A 17298-nucleotide genomic window follows, 5' to 3' on the forward strand; every position below is an offset into this window, starting at 1 on the left:
TCACATCATAGTATTGAGTTTATTAAATACCATCTGAGTATGCTAGGAATGAACTAATTTTTCAAAATTGTGCATTATTTTGCATCTCAGGGTAAAAGTATTTTAAAAATTGACATCTCGTAAAAGATATCTCTTGAAAAATATAAATTTAGAACTGAAAATAGCAGGATATTTCTCTTTGCACATTTTTCTCTCTCTGAGATTAAGCAAAAAAGTAGCAGCCAAATAATAAAACTCTTATATTTTCTGGTGTAGACATACCAAAACTAGTTAGCAATATGAAACCTACACATGCACACACACACACACACACACACACACTTACACATTATAGAAATAAATGTATTTTCTTTTGTGATTTTTTTTCCTATTTGAACTATAAAATAAGGAGTAACTTCAAATTGTATTAAATCTTAGAATTTCATAAAGATTGCATAATCCAGCTAAAGATGAAATTTCTAGGGATAATATAAGCAGTTCATATATCTGTGTGTAGCAGTGATGTTTCTGATAATAATTGTATACTGGTTTGGGGGTTTTTCTTTAGAGTCATATATATTAGCTCATTTGCACAGTTACTATGTGTAAAACATGCACATTTTTTGAATAGTAGTTAAAATCTGGAAATGTTGAAATGATGCATTTATATTTAGATATTTAGTCATGTGTATGGATGTGGAAAATAGCAATGATCTGATAAGTTTTGATTTATTCCAAAAGTCACCATGGTATAAAGGGGGTTTTCCACATTTTTCTGATCTACTTCAAGGCAGAATTTGAATAGACAAGTGATTCTCAAGAGTGCCTCAGAATCACTTGAAGGGCTTGTGTAAAGTGATAAAGAGATGGCTAGGCCCCACCCCTCGAGTTTTTGATAAAGGAAGTCAGATATAGGGCTGAGGTGGTGTATTTTTAACAAGTTCTCAGATATAGCTGATGCTGGTAGTTTGGAATCACACCTTGCAAACCAATGGAGTAATAGATAATGGACAATTTTCTAATAAAATCAGCACATAATTATTTCTACTAAGCAAATCTGAATCATGAATAGGACTGACAGCCTTTCAGATCCACATTAAAGGAAACTAACTCTTCTGTCTCGGTACTGATATTATTGGTATTATAAATATGCAGTAAATAACACATAATGGAGACATACCTATTCTACTAGATCTCTCTAGGATCTTAAGTTTTGTTATTTAAATAATTGATAAAAATTAGAAAAGAATATGCCAAATAGTTGGGTTCTTTTCCTGAACAAAAAGAGTATTTTTTGAACCATGCATGAAATTCAAGGAATGTAAGTAAAAATTGAAATCTATATTGAGTGCCTCTGCTGAACTAAAATGGATATTTTAAAGTAAGTGCCCTTGATGGGATATTTAGATGAAAATCTATATTTTTTGTCGTATTATATTTTGCAATGAAATCCACTTTTATGAAACTGAATTCAGAAAACTCTCATTTCAAAGTAACCTGAAGACAAATGGATATTCGTTGTCAATCTTAAGATATATTAAAGTTAATTTGTGTTGGTAAAATTTTGAGTGAGTGTGCTCTTGTAAACACCTGAGTGCTATTCAGCTTAATTGGGTTATAGCTCATCCTGATTGTGTTTTTCTCCTGCTGTATCTAATTTCTTTTTTTCAATATTTTATTGTTTGGTTTGATTTTGAAGGTGTATGGAAATTAAAGAACTCTAATTTTTTAAGAGCCCTAAAGGGAAGTATGCTTTCGTGTTAGTCATTCCTGTGAACACCTGTGCACTGTTGAATTTAATTGGGTTACAGCTGGTGCTGAGAGAGAGTCAACTAAATGAGGTTTTATAGACTGGCTAGAAACTTGACATTGCATGTCATTGCTTCTTCCCTCCCATTACTTTTCTTTCTATACATTTACAAGATGCTTGGATCTGAAAGATTTTGAAGGTAAATTGAATGAACTTATGATCGGTGATACTTGGTAGTGATTACTTCAGAAAAAGTGTACTTCCATTATACGTTTGTGCAGTACCTCAGAATAAGGTGATCCTAACCTCAGAAGCTAGATGGCCTGCTTGTTGCCAGTAATTCAGGAACACAATGTAATACTGTAGTTAGATTTTCAGAGACTGGTTATTCAATCATATGAGGGTTTTCAGAGGAAAAAACAATGCGTTGAAATTGAAAAGGTAGTAAAAAATTAAATATTATAGAAACCATAGATAACAAAGTAAATGAGGGTAGAATCTATCCACTGAGAGGTAATTATTTTTAATATCTCAATATCATCATTAGAATAAGTTCCTCAGTATGGCCAATAACAATAATTAAATAATTTCAAATAATTTGTTAAAAATTAAATAGAACAATTTGGCAACTTCTTTAGAAAATTTAAGATGGCTCTGTGTTTTTCTCTTGAGCCAATATCATAGACTATTAATTAGTTCGGCAGATAAAATTGAATATACAAAGGGCATTTGGGAACTAGGAGTAGGTGGCAATAGAGTAATATTTAATGGCACTAAATATTAGAATCTTCAACTAGATCCCAGTTTTAGAAAACTATATTCCTTTTTATTTCAAATAAGTTTGAAAATTTAATAGCATTGAATGTTTGTTTTGAATCTATTTTACATGACAGAAAGCAAAATTTAAAACACCAGCAAAAACTAACGAAGTATAAAACAGCAGTTAAAGTATTCACTTAGTAAAGCATTTCTAACATATAACAAAAAACCTTCTAGATGTATTGCTATGCTACTTTAAATGTATAATAGAGAAAAAGAATTTGCTATCCCACTGTTTTTTTTTTGAAAATTAAACTCTGATGAGTGACCTACATTTTTTCACATCCTCTGTGATAAATTAAGAAAGCTATATATTAAGATAAATAAAATGTCTTTAAATTCAATAGAACTATTAAAAATAGGCATTATAATAGAATTAATGCATGTAAAGTACTAATATATCTTTCGTAATATTCTTGATCTTGTGATTAAGCCAGCATTTTCCCATTTTTGAAAGATGAAACTTTCAAAATATTATGGGTCATTCATTTTGGTCAAATTATTCAACCTGGTGTTCTTTGTGCACTTGTCTGATCAGTAAAGCTTTAGGAAGACAGCTTGCTCTCAGGCACTCTCCATAAGACTGAGCATATAACTGTGCTGGTCAGTTACAGGAGCAAAATGTTCCTTTGAACCTCTATAGATTCAATGGCAAACATGCTGGAGGTCTCACTTTGTAGTACACCATCACCCGTGCCCAAATAGGGATGTGACTATATCAAGAGAGTGCAGCCATTATGTGAGGACAGATTCAGGGGACTTGTTAGTTTCTGGTAAAGAAGGAGTGTAAGTTTAACTACTTTCCAAATGCGGCCTGATGGAGCATGCAGAGCTGCCATCCCAGCAGAGTACCTTATCTTGGAAATGAGATGGATTTGTGGACTGAGGTGTGTCTGAGGAGATCTGATCACATTGGTGTCAACTGAAGGATGTGGGGAGTCCACAGGCTGAATTATATACAATAAGGGGGTCTACTTAATTTGTCCTAAATCACTGAGATTAGAAAGTTTATCCAGGTTTCTAGGAGAAAAAGTGAGAATAGGGTGTTTTTTTTATATCACAGGAATCTTATTAATTTTATGTTCATGAAGAGATGCTTGGTGCTTTAAGGAATGCCAGTTAAGTAATGGGTAAATGAGAAAGAAAAAAAAATTCCCTGCTTGCCTGATTACTCTTTTCTAGAAGTAAGTAACCTGGTTTTATGGGGCTCAAGACTATGCCTCAAGTTACTACTTTTGTAAAACACAACTCGCCTTACTCCAACTTCATAGAAACTAAGCTTTTGCAAATGTCATAAACAGCTATTGAATGTAGTCAGTTACTTTTGCACAGAATAAAATATGAAGAATATATGTTTGCCTGGCTCCTGCCATGATGCCTGCCCCTGCTTCTTCGTGCTCCCCATATCCGTGTATTCATTTCTAGATAGCAATTCAGCCATTGAGCCTCAGACCTAGTACTTGAAATAAACATAAGTTATTTAGAAAACCAGCTGCATTTTAACACATTGCCTGAGGCAACCAACTGGGTCCTGTGAACTTTATGCAGTTATTATTGACCTGTTTTCTCTGTTACTCCAAACTAAATGTGTATTATATTGAGGTAACCATTATGCAAGCAAATGTGGTTCTTAAATATATTTATGAAATGAAGAAAATGGTCAGATAAGTGGTAATAATTGTAGTTTAGCTGTGGATAAAGTTCTGGAATTACTTGATAGGAAAGTTTTAAGTCTGATGATGATATCTCAAATGTTCAACTTCAGACTCTGGAACTTAGTAAGCTATCACTTATGTATTTATGAGATTTGCTGTGATAGTAACATTTTAAATGCAAAGGTACATTTAATTGAGCTTTCTCTTTTTGGCAACTTGTACTAGAAGAATGTACCTAAATTTTCAGTAAGCTGATCAAATTAGGAGAGCATCTGTCTTAGCAATGTATTATTCATCTCTAAACAATAATGATGCGGGCAGTTGTATTGTATTGTCATAATTGAAGTTGCCTAGCCATATGTTATACACCCTGAAGACACACAACCACACAAAAATTTTAAGTGATCATTTACTGATTCTGATATTTTACTTGAGAAGATAAGCATTTTCAAGTGCGCCAAGGGAAATAAAAATATTACAGAGATTTTCCTTTGATACCTAACCATTAAATTCAATAACTCATAAATCAAAAAATTTTAAAGCTTATTACGAGTCAAGAATTGTGGTAAATGAGCAGCTGTGGAGACAAGTTAAAGCCTGATAAGATAGAAGCCACCTTTCCCAACACTGATAGGAATTGAAAAGGACCATTGACCCTCAACCTGGAAGCCCCACAAACACTTCAAACTCTAAAGCCCAAATGCAATTGCCCTCCACAATCACACTTCTGCCTAGCCAAGCAACCAAGCTAGAGAGAAGCATCTTTGATATCTGGCTCTGTATTGTTTATCCTCTATGTTAAAATCTGTCTACAAGCACTATCATTTCAAATTGCTAAATATTTCTTGAAATGACTCTCTTGTTTACATTTTGTCATTGATTTCTTCTTAGGCCCTTATTAAATGATTTATTTCTGCATTTAAGAAATTCTAGACTGAGTACTACTATGTATCAATTCTGTGCCAGTTACATGATGACAAGAGAGAACATGGTCTTAGGTAGCTTCAGTGGTGTGGGTAAGACAGATATAAGAAACAAACCATTTTGTATAAGGATACATTCCATAATAAATGGATTACATAAGAAGATGTACCTAACATAGCCTTTATGCTGGACCTTTCATCCTTTATTCTTCATGTATTTTATGCGTGACTCAGATGCCAAAATCCCTATGCCTGGGCAACCCATGCATTCTTTATGTTTTTGTAGATTTTCTACATTTCATTTTCTTAAAAGTATACACAGCAGCACTGGATTAATTATATACTTATTTGTCTAGTTATCTAGTTATTCACTGTCAAGCCATAAGTTTTTAAAGAGCAGGTATCATGATTATTTATTGAATTCCTAGGTGATGAGAAAACATTGTTTGTATGAGATAGTGCAAACTCTCCCTGGGTATTGGATGGAAGGCTTCATTGAGGAAGTGAACTTGAGTTGACTTTTAATATAAATTAAATTAGAAATAAATTCTTAAAGGAAATTAAAATTTTAATAGAATTAGACACTTTCCAGACAGAAAGGATTTCAGTGGCAATGTGAAAGCAAATGTGATGGTGTGAAATAACAGAATAACATGAAATGATCCAAGAGCTGTCAGTAGTTTGGTGTGGCTGGGGCATACTGTTTTGGGAAGGAGATACCAGAAATCAGGACGGGCATGGGTAGAGAGGCTAGAAATGGAAGCACCTTGTACATTTTGCAGAGAAATGTAATCATTATATGCTGAAATCTCAGAAGTAGACTGAGTTTTATTTTTGCATATTACCTAGGTAGCAATGAGTAATTATTTTTTTTAAAACTTTTTGGGTCTCATACTCCTCATCTGTAAAATCATGATTATAATAGTTATTTTGAGGATCAGATGTATGTCTATAAGTGCTTAGAAAAATGTGTGGTCCATGGTAAACATTCAATATAAGCTGGCTGGTTTTACTGTCATTATGACTTTTGTCTTCATTATTATTAAATATTTGAGGGCCATGAGATAATCTTAAAGCAATTAAGTAACATCATAATTACATTTTAGAAGGGAAACTGTGTTACATAGGGAGAGGAAGGACTGAAAATGAAAACTGAATTAAAAAAGATAATTTAAGAGGCTTTATGACAGATTTTTTGCTTAAACAGCATTGTTTAAATATTATATTTAAAATACTTTAAATTAAAAGTTAAATAGTTTTAAGCTGTGAAAAGCATCCACAAGCAATGGTGATGGTTACTTATTTAAAAGATAATAAAAAATAGATGAGACAAAAGCACAGAATTAATTCATTAATGTACAAGATCACTTTTATTATTGGGGTATTCGTATTCATTAATAAGAGAGCATAGTGTAGGGGAAATTAAATGCTTTAATTAAAAAATTGAGATATTTAGAGATACCTGGCAGACAATTACATGATATGATAGCAGTGCTAAACGAAGTTCTGGTCTCTAAAGAGAGGAATCAGCAACAGAAAGTAAATGAGCACAGTATATCCTTCATCAAGCCTATTTTACTACCAAGGAAAAAAAAAAAGTCAGCTGATCTAAACCATGTTTAGGTCCTTAAGGACAGAAGAGCTTATATACATTTTGATGCAAGTTTCTTAGCTCAGGGTAGATCAGAATTATTCTTGGACCAGTGTGCAGACCAGTGTTTGAGGAGCACTAGTCCAGAGCTTAAGAAAATTAAGAGAATTCTGAATTATAAATATTGAGTTAGGACTATACACTAGTAATAGATAAAATTTTTGGAATGTAGGAAAACATTAAAAGAAATCGTGAGATGTGTAAAAAAAATTAAACCACTTAATTTTAAAAGTGGGCAGAGAGGAACACCAAAAAGTAATACTCATGGAATTAGACCATGAACAATAAGAGCATGGCACACTGACAAGAGGATAGGCAGCAATTCTCAAAGGGAGGAAGGCTCCCCAAGGGAATGATCATGCAAGACATGATAATTAACTTACTCCTTCAGAAAATGCTGGATACTTATAAATTCACTCTAGTCTTGACTTTTCCCTATCAGATAGCTAAGATACTAGATCTATAGTTTAAAGATGGCTATATGACTTAAGATTGACAAAGAAGTTTATCTGTTTTATGTGCCAAGGTGTCCTAATGGAGGGAAAAACATTATAGGAAGTAGGAGGAAATTTTAAAATGTTCATCATTGTAATTTATGCCTATAAAACACTTCAATTTTTATCCCTATATTTTATGCCTGTCTTCAGAGGGGTAATCAATTCCTCTAACCACTGAACAGGGATTCTGAAGAGACTTTCATATAGCTGCTGCTGTTTCTTAGTTTCCTGCTCCCAGGGTTTTAGTTTTAGCTTGCTTTGACCTGCTAAGTCAGTTAACATGTACTCATCAGCTTTCAGGTCCAAGACTTTTTAACATCTCTTTGTGGTGTTTCTTCTCCAATTCTCTCTTCTTTTGTAGCCTTAGTTTTATTTTTCCTGTCATTTGGTAGGAATTGGGGAAAGAGCAAATATAAACTTGTGCTAACACTACCCACTTCCCTGGGAGTCCAAATTTGTAATATGTGAGGTAAATTTATAGTCATGCTGAAATAACAATCCTTTCTTTTTTAGTGATTCATTTACCTTTCCTCTGAACGTTTTCTGTTCTAAAGTATGTTTTCATCACTTTCCTATTTTTATAAATTATATAGGTAGAACTCATGTAGAATAGTTCTAAAGTCTGTATCATTTCCATTCTTCTCTCAGTCTGATTCTAATTGATGTGACTTGAGCACAACAAATTATTGCCTTGAGCAAAACACTGATTTAAGCCACTCCCTCTCTCTTACATCATGCTAGGGCTAAAATTTCTGTTTCACTAAGACGCAAATGTGCAGTTGCTATCACTTATTGCCTATGCAATTTGTTTTGTCTTTTTAAAAACTAGATCTCTTACATATAGAACTTACTTTCTTGCTTGGTTTTTCAGATTTAATAAATGCATCTATCAGCTTTTCCTTAAACCTTTTATTCCATTATATAAATCATTTTGTTGATCTCACTAATTTCTATATCTCTACCTTTAAAAAGTAAATAGTATTAAGTGCTGAAGTTAAGTAGTACTAAGAAGGGCTCAGATTCAACACATCACATTTCTTTACATAAGTATCTTTCAAAAAGTTAAATAAAATTATGTAATAGACTTTTAAGCAATATATGCTTTTCAATGCCTTCATATCCCTTCTTCTTTGCTATTACTTGTAGAATACCTAATTTGTCCATATATTATTGATCATTTATTATCTAGGATGCATCATTTTGAGTAACTATTTGCCCTTAAAATCACAAGCCATTTATTAACAATAGTTAAAATATTTATAATTGTACTCATCTTTGGAACACTATTTGTAGTGTTTTTATGTCTCCCTTCTGAAAGCATAACTGCAAGGCATGTGATTATATCATTTGTATAATTATCATCTGTATAGCATCCCTAAATATCTAGAAAAATAAAGTATCAACTGCTTGTAAAATGTATATTATGAACATGTTCCAATAATTCAATTACACTGTGTTTAATTTTCAATTAAGTCTATGGTTGTACCATTTTATCCCCCTGAATTGGTCTTTTGGCTTCCTTGTTACCTAAGAAAAAAGGGCACAGTGGCACCTAATTAAGTGATTTAGATTGCTGACATTGATGCCATTAAAAATATTGGGTCATTCAATTTGATACACTTGTGGAATAAACCCAGTTCAAAGTTAAGAACTATTTATAGTTATTTACATTTCTAATTCAATCATCTGTTTTTCTTCGAGATAAAGAAAATGTGAAGAATGAGGGAAATAAGTAATACTTAGTGATTACTATGATCCAGATATTGTGCTGTTTTATTTATTTAATCTTCATTACCTCACGTGCCCATCTAAATAGATACCCATTTTTTGACTTTCAGCCATTAAAATAACTAATAATATAAAATATCTAATGCAGTTTAATATGGTGAATTATATATGTGTATTCTAAGACATATATAGTTATATACTATGCTACATAGATATACTATATAGTATATACTATACAATATAGATATACTGTATATATATTACATATAATATACTACATTGATATACTATATATTATATATAATATAACATATCAATATAATATATATATACTTTTTTTATTATACTTTAAGTTCTAGGGTACATGTGCACAACGTGCAGGTTTGTTACATATGTATACATGTGCCATGTTGGTGTGCTGCACCCATTAACTCGTCATTTAAATTAGGTATATCTCCTAATTCTATTCGTCCCCCCTCCCCCAACCCCATGACAGACCCTGGTGTGTGATGTTCCCCACCATGTGTCCAAGTGTTCTCATTGTTCAATTCCCACCTATGAGTTGAGAACATGTGGTGTTTTATTTTCTGTCCTTGCGATAGTTTGCTCAGAATGATGGTTTCCAGCTTCATCCATATCCCTACAAAGGACATGAACTCATCCTTTTGTATGGCTGCATAGTATTCCATGGTGTATATGTGCCACATTTTCTTAATCCAGTCTATCATTGATGGACATTTGGGTTGGTTCCAAGTCTTTGCTATTGTGAATAGTGCCACAATAAACATACGTGTGCATGTGTCTTTATAGCAGCATGATTTATAATCCTTTGGGTATATACCCAGTAATGGGATGGCTGGATCAAATGATATTTCTAGTTCTAGATCCTTGAGGAATTTCCACACTGTCTTCCACAATGGTTGAACTAGTTTACAGTCCCACCAACAGTGTAAAAGTGTTCCTATTTCTCCACATCCTCTCCAGCACCTGTTTCCTGACTTTTTAATGACCGCCATTCTAACTGGTGTGAGATGGTATCTCATTGTGGTTTTGATTTGCATTTCTCTGATGGGCAGTGATGATGAGCATTTTTTCATGTGTCTGTTGGCTGCATAAATGTCTTCTTTTGAGAAGTGTCTGTTCATATCCTTTGCCCAGTTTTTGATGGGGTTGATTTTTTTCTTGTAAATTTGTTTAAGTTCTTTGTAGATTCTGGAAATTAGCCTTTTGTCAGATGGGTAGATTGTAAAAATTTTCTCCCATTCTGTAGGTTGCCTATTCACTCTGATGGTAGTTTCTTTTGCTGTGCAGAAGCTCTTTAGTTTAATTAGATCCCATTTGTCTATTTTGGCTTTTGTTGCTGTTGCTTTTGGTATTTTAGACATGAAGTCCTTGCCCATGCCTATGTCCTGAATGGTATTGCCTAGGTTTTCTTCTAGAATTTTTATGGTTTTAGGTCTAACATTTAAGTCTTTAATCCATCTTGAGTTAATTTTTGTATAAGGTGTAAGGAAGGGATCCAGTTTCAGCTTTCTACATATGGCTAGCCAGTTTTCCCAGCACCATTTGTTAAATAGGGAATCCTTTCCCCATTTCTTGTTTTTCTCAGGTTTGTCAAAGATCAGATGTTTGTAGATGTGTGGTATTATTTCTGAGGACTCTGTTCTGTTCTATTGGTCTATCTCTCTGTTTTGATACCAGTGCCATGCTGTTTTGGTTACTGTAGCCTTGTAGTATAGTTTGAAGTCAGGTAGCATGATGCCTCCAGCTTTGTTCCTTTTGCTTAGGATTGTCTTGGCAATGAGTGCTCTTTTTTGGTTCCATATGAACTTTAAAGTAGTTTTTTCCAATTCTGTGAAGAAAGTCATTGGTAGCTTGATGCGGATGGCATTGAATCTATAAATTACCTTGGGCAGTATGGCCATTTTCACAATATTGATTCTTCCTATCCATGAGCATGGACTGTTCTTCCATTTGTTTGTGTCTTCTTCTATTTCGTTGAGCAGTGGTTTGTAGTTTTCCTTGAAGAGGTCCTTCACATCTCTTATAAGTTGGATTCATAGGTATTTTATTCTCTTTGTAGCAATTGTGAATGGGAGTTCACTCATGGTTTGGATCTCTGTTTGTCTGTTATTGGTGTATAGGAATGCTTGTGATTTTTGTACGTTGATTTTGTATCCTGAGACTTTGCTGAAGTCGCTTATCAGATTAAGGAGATTTTGGGCTGAGATGATGGGGTTTTCTAAATATACAATCTTGTCATCTGCAAACAGTGACAATTTCACTTCCTCATTGCTAATGGAATACCTATTATTTCTTTCTTCTGCCTGACTGCCCTGGGCAGAACTTGCAACATTATGTTCAATAGGAGTAGTGAGAAAAGGCATCCCTGTCTTGTGCCAGTTTTCAAAGGGAATGCTTCCAGCTTTTGCCCACTCAGTATGATATTGGCTGTGGGTTTGTCATAAATAGCTCTTGTTATTTTGAGATACGTCCCATCGATACCTAATTTATTGAGAATTTTTAGCATGAAGGGCCGCTAAATATTGTTGAATGCCTTTTCTGCATCCATTGAGGTAATCATGTGGTTTTTGTCTTTGGTTCTGTTTGTATGATGGATTACATTTATTGATTTGTGTATGTTGAACCAGCCTTGCATATCAGGGAAGAAGCTGACTTCATCATCATGGATAAGCTTTTTGATGGGCTGCTGGATTCAGTTTGCCAGTATTTTATTGAGGATTTTTTGCATCGATGTTCATCAGGGATATTGGTCTAAAATTCTCTTTTTTTGTTGTGTCTCTGCCAGACATTGATACCAGGATGATGCTGGCCTCATAAAATGAGTTAGGGAGGATTCCCTCTTTTCCTACTCATTGGAATAGTTTCAGAAGGAATGGTACCAGCTCCTCTTTGTACCTCTGGTAGAATTTTGCTGTGAATCCATCTGGTCCTGGACTTTTTTTGGTTGGTAGGCTATTAATTATTGCCTCAATTTCAGAGCCTGTTATTGCTCTACTCAGGGATTCAACTTCTTCCTGGTTTAATCTTGGGAGGGTGTATGTGTCCAGGAATGTATCCATTTCTTCTAGATTTTCTAGTTTCTTTGCATAGAGGTGTTTATAGTATTCCCTGATGGTAGTTTGTATTTCTGTGTGATCGGTGGTCATATCCCTTTTCTTTTTTTATTGTATCTATTTGATTCTTCTCTCTTTGCTTCTTTATTAGTCTTGCTAGCAGTCTATCAATTTTGTTGATGTTTTCAAAAAAACAGATCCTGGATTCCTTGATTTCTTGAAGGGTTTTTTTCTGTCTCTGTCTCCTCCAGTTCTGCTCTGATCTTAGTTATTTCTTGCCTTCTGCTAGCTTTTGAATGTGTTTGCTCTTGCTTCTCTAGTTCTTTTAATTGTGATGTTAGGGTGTCAATTTTAGATCTTTCCTGCTTCTCTTGTGGGCATTAAGTGCTATAAATTTCCCTCTACACACTGCTTTAAATGTGTCCCAGAGATTCTGGTATGTTGTGTCTTTGTTCTCATTGGTTTCAAAGAACCTCTTTATTTCTGCCTTCCTTTCATTATGTACCCAGTAGTCATTCAGGAGCAGGTTGTTCAGTTTCCATGTTGTTGAGGGGTTTTGAGTGAGTTTCTTAGTCCCGAGCTCTAGTTTGATTGCACCATTGTCTGAGAGACAGTTTGTTATAATTTCTGTTCTTTTACATTTGCTGAGGAGTGCTTTACTTCCTACTATGTGGTCAATTTTGGAATAAGTGCAATGAGGTGATGAGAAGAATGTATATTCTGTTGATTTGGAGTGGAGAGTTCTGTAGATGTCTATTAGGTCCACTTGGTGCAGAGCTGAGTTCAATTCCTGGATATCCTTGTTAACTTTCTGTCTTGTTGATCTGTCTAATGTTGACAGTGGGGTGTTAAAGTCACTCATTATTATTGTGTGGGAGTGTAAGTCTCTTTGTAGGTCTCTAAGGACTTGGCTTATGAATCTGGGTGCTTCTGTATTGTGTGCATATATATTTAGGATAGTTAGCTCTTCTTGTTGAATTGATCCCTTTACCATTATGTAATGGCTATCTTTGTCTCTTTTGATCTTTGTTGGTTTAATGTCTGTTTTATCAGAGACTAGGATTGCAACCCCTGGTTTTTTTTTTTGTTTTCCATTTGCTTGGCCATATGTAGAAAGCTGAAACCAGATCCCTTCCTTACACCTTATACAAAAATTAATTGAAGATGGATTAAAGACTTAAATGTTAGACCTAAAACCATAAAAACCCTAGAAGAAAACCTAGGCAATACCATTCAAGACACAGGCATGGGCAAGGACTTCATGTCTAAAATACCAAAAGCAACAGTAACAAAAGCGAAAATAGACAAATGGGATCTAATTAAACTAAAGAGCTTCTGCACAGCAAAAGAAACTACCATCAGAGTGAATAGGCAACCTACAGAATGGGAGAAAATTTTTACAATCTACCTACTGAAGCCTCAGCAATGGCTGGCGCCCCTCCCCCTGCCTCGGGGCTGCCTTGCAATTCAATATCAGACTGCTGTGCTAGCAGTGAGCCTGGCTCCGTGGCATTGGACCCTCCAATCTAAGCACAGGATATAATCTCCTGGTGTGCCATTTGCTAAGACCGTTGGAAAAGCACAGTATTAGGGTAAGAGTGTCCGAATTTTCCAGGTACCATCTGTCATGGCTTCCCTTGGCTAGGAAAGGGAATTCTCCGACCCCTTGCACTTCCCAGGTGAGGCAATGCCCCACCCTGCTTTGGCTTAATCTCCTTAGGTTGCACCCACTGTCCAACAAGCCCCAGTGAGATGAACCTGGTACCTCAATTGGAAATGCAGAAATCACCCGTCTTCTACATTGCTCATGCTGGGAGCTGTAGACTGGAGCTGTTCCTATTTGGCCATCTTGGAACTGCCTCCCGATATATGTATATTCTTATCCATACAACAAACCTATGAGAGGTAGGTGAAATTATTAACATAGATAATAATGAAGAAAGTGCAAAACAGAGAAATTTGTTAACTTGTAACATGAAATTGCATAATAAGAGTCAAGACCCATAAGTGTGCTGTATTCAGGAGAACCATGAAATTGCATAATTTGTTAACTTGTACAATAAGTAGCATGAAATTGCATAATAGACTTCTAAGCAATTCATGCTTTGCATCACCTTCAAACCCCTTCTTCTTTCCTATGTTGTTCAAGTTAATAAATTTAAGAAGTCAAACAGCAGGGTCTCTTTTACTCCAAAGCTTATACTGTTTCCAGTATACTATATTGTTTTATGACATTCTAGTTAACATATCTTTTAATTTGTTTCTTAGGATTCAATGTGGTTCTTTATTTAGTAATAGCCATCTTGCCAATTGTGTCAATAATATGTCGACTCTTTAAAGTTGCTAAATGTTTATTCCTTACCACTGGGACTCATCTGTTTGTAAATAAGCAGTTCCACAAATACACGCTAGTAAATTCTAGAGCTGATAGAAACAGTAGTGCTAGTTATCGCATGTTATGTAAGAATGTGTCATTTGTTTTGTTTTTAATATAGCTGACAATGTATTCATGATTTTTCCTGGTACATAAATAAAAGACTTTCAATTTATAGTTAAAATGATAATATCTTCATGACTGTACAACATGTTGTATAAATAAAATATTCTGCTTTTATTATATTGTTATCCATGTTTAATGAATTTGAGCTATGTAGATAAAACTTGAGGCACTAGACAGAATAAGTTTCTAAGTCCTCAGTTTTTTTATTCATAGTATTGTTAGCCACAGAATTATTAATGAAAAAAACAACCTTTGTTTATTTGAATATTCTCACAACATGGCACATTGAAGATGTGTTTTATTTTAAACTCACATTTCATACCTAATATTGCAAAGCAGACAATCCTCACTGTAAGTATTATTTATTGATGCTTAAAACTTCAATGAATTATTCAGCCCCTTTAACCCTTCTTGCTTTGCTGCACACCTATTGAGTTTTCAGAGCAGTTTCATATCAATAAATTTGTTCTTGCTTTGCTGCTCCAATTTCATGCTTGGCCTTTCTAAGTGACATACAAGAAAAATAAATAAATAGCTAGAAGGAATAAAATAAGTATACAAATTACTTTGAACAACTCGAGATCCAAATCATTAAAGCTCTCAAAGATTTTAAAAATTAAGATGTGAAAGCAAGTCTACAAAAACAGGCTACATGCAAAAATAATAGGCAAAAACCGTGTCTTGTTAACATGCAATCTGTGGAGAGTGACCATGTATTTATACGCATCCTGTACCCGGGGTTGAAATGAACTCTTTACAAATAAGTTCCTAAGAGTTCAAGGACTTACTGCCACTTTTTATCTCATGTTGTCATGCACATTAGAGAGGTAGACAAGAAGAGAATGAACGGCCTTTTTAGTATGTTTGTGTTACTATAAAGAAACACTTGAAGCCAAGTAATTTATAAAGAAAAGAGGTTTATTTGGCTCACAGTTGTACAGGCTATACAAGAAGCATCATGTAGCTTCTGCTTCTGATGCGGGAGCTTCAGGCTGCTTCCACTCATGGTAGAAGGGAAACAGGAGCAGGCTTCTATACAGAGATCACATGGTGAGAGAAGGGACAAGAGAGATGGGGAACCAGCTCTACAGGGAACTAGTAGAGTGAGAACTCACTCATTACTTTGTGGTCAACACCACCCATGAGGGATCCATTCCATGACTCAAATATGTCCCAGGAGGCGCCACTTCCAACACTGGGGATGAAATTTCAACATGAGGTGTGGAGAGTCAAATATTCAAACTGTAGTCATCTCTTCTGTGGAGCTAGAGGGTTGGGAAATTTACCCACTAACTCCATTTGTCAGTGGTCTATTGCCGTTTCAGTGAGGGCTGTTGATGCTCCTGCACTTCCGGCTTGCTCAGCCTAGGAGCTGATAGTGCTCCAGGCCAGTAAAAAAAAAAGCCCTCAGGCCAAAAGTGAGTACTAATCCTTTAGCACAGAGATGAATGTCTAGAGTACAACAGCCTCAGTTGTATTAAGATAAAGAGAGATGTTCATGATGTTTAAAATCAGATGATGACATCAAAATTGAAATGGAAAACAAAAAGTAAATATTTCTTTTCACTTCCTCATTCTTCTGACTTTGAAAACCTCTTACCTTTTATGGATACAGAGACAAATATATCTCTGTCTATGGAAATAGTAAAATGAAATTAAGAACAATTTTCACATAACAGTATAATTTAGTATAATTCTCTACTATCAATTGTACAAGAATGCTTTATCTCATGATGCAAGATTAAATTGTTATCCAGTTCCAAACCAGGTGGTTATATCAGCCAGCCTTTTTATGATGACTTATTTGCCTTTAAGCAAATATATTACATCCAACCTTTTAAAATATTTTTATCATTTCCTATTTTTAATACTGAATCCTCAGACTGAAAATTCAACAGTTTTTGCTTTAAAGTTTTACATCTCTTCCTAAATTTTATTTGCCTGCAATCTGATATAGGTGTTCATAGTCATCTAAACATTTCTCTTGTTGTTGTTGGCTTTGCTGCTGGGGCATTCAGTAATTTTCATGACCTGTCTCCAGGTGCTTTATAATTTCCACATGCCTTGTATTTATGAACACCAGCTTATATAACATTCAGATAGAAACAAAGGAAAATGTTATATATCACAATGGCAGGATGATACAGCTGTGAAGGTAGCAGACATATACAGTGCTTTATATTTTTTAAATCATTGCTTTAAGATTAGATATGATGAATTTCAGATGAGTAAACCAACCATAGTGTACTCCTGTATTTTATCTAGAAAAGTAATGATAATGGATACCCTCAGGTCAGACCTGGGTGTTCATGATCACAACCTCTGTGTCTTTTCTTGGCACCTTATTTGCTGTGGGGGAAAACAATTTCCATTCATGTATCATACTCCATTCGGACAAAGCAAACACCTGAAACTTAGACAAATGTTATTCACATGGCATCCTCTAGATTTCTGAGGCAAAGACATTGGCAAAAACAAAAAAAGAATCATTTACAATAGTGAATCTCAGTAGACCTTTTCCCCTATCTCAGTAAAGATTAAACAATCTTCTTAATAAACTTTGCATTAGGAACAATTAAATGGTTCATTTTTGATGCAGACATTTATTTGAATGATTTTAATTACCACTTAATATGCCCTTATATTGCCCAATTTATTCATTTTAGTATCTTATAACCTTGATTTACATATTTTTGCTGTTCTATTTATCACCATTCAT

The 17298-nt window shown here is 34.5% G+C and overlaps 1 protein-coding gene across 8 annotated transcripts in view; it reads left to right on the plus strand.

The window, feature by feature from the left end:
* The window catches only part of CCSER1 (coiled-coil serine rich protein 1), a 1477902-nt gene that overhangs the window by 1264676 nt on the left and 195928 nt on the right, over positions 1–17298 (plus strand). The window lies entirely within an intron of this gene.

The sequence above is a fragment of the Homo sapiens genome, chromosome 4 (genome assembly GCF_000001405.40).
Source record: "Homo sapiens chromosome 4, GRCh38.p14 Primary Assembly".
NCBI classification, from domain to species: domain Eukaryota; kingdom Metazoa; phylum Chordata; class Mammalia; order Primates; family Hominidae; genus Homo; species Homo sapiens.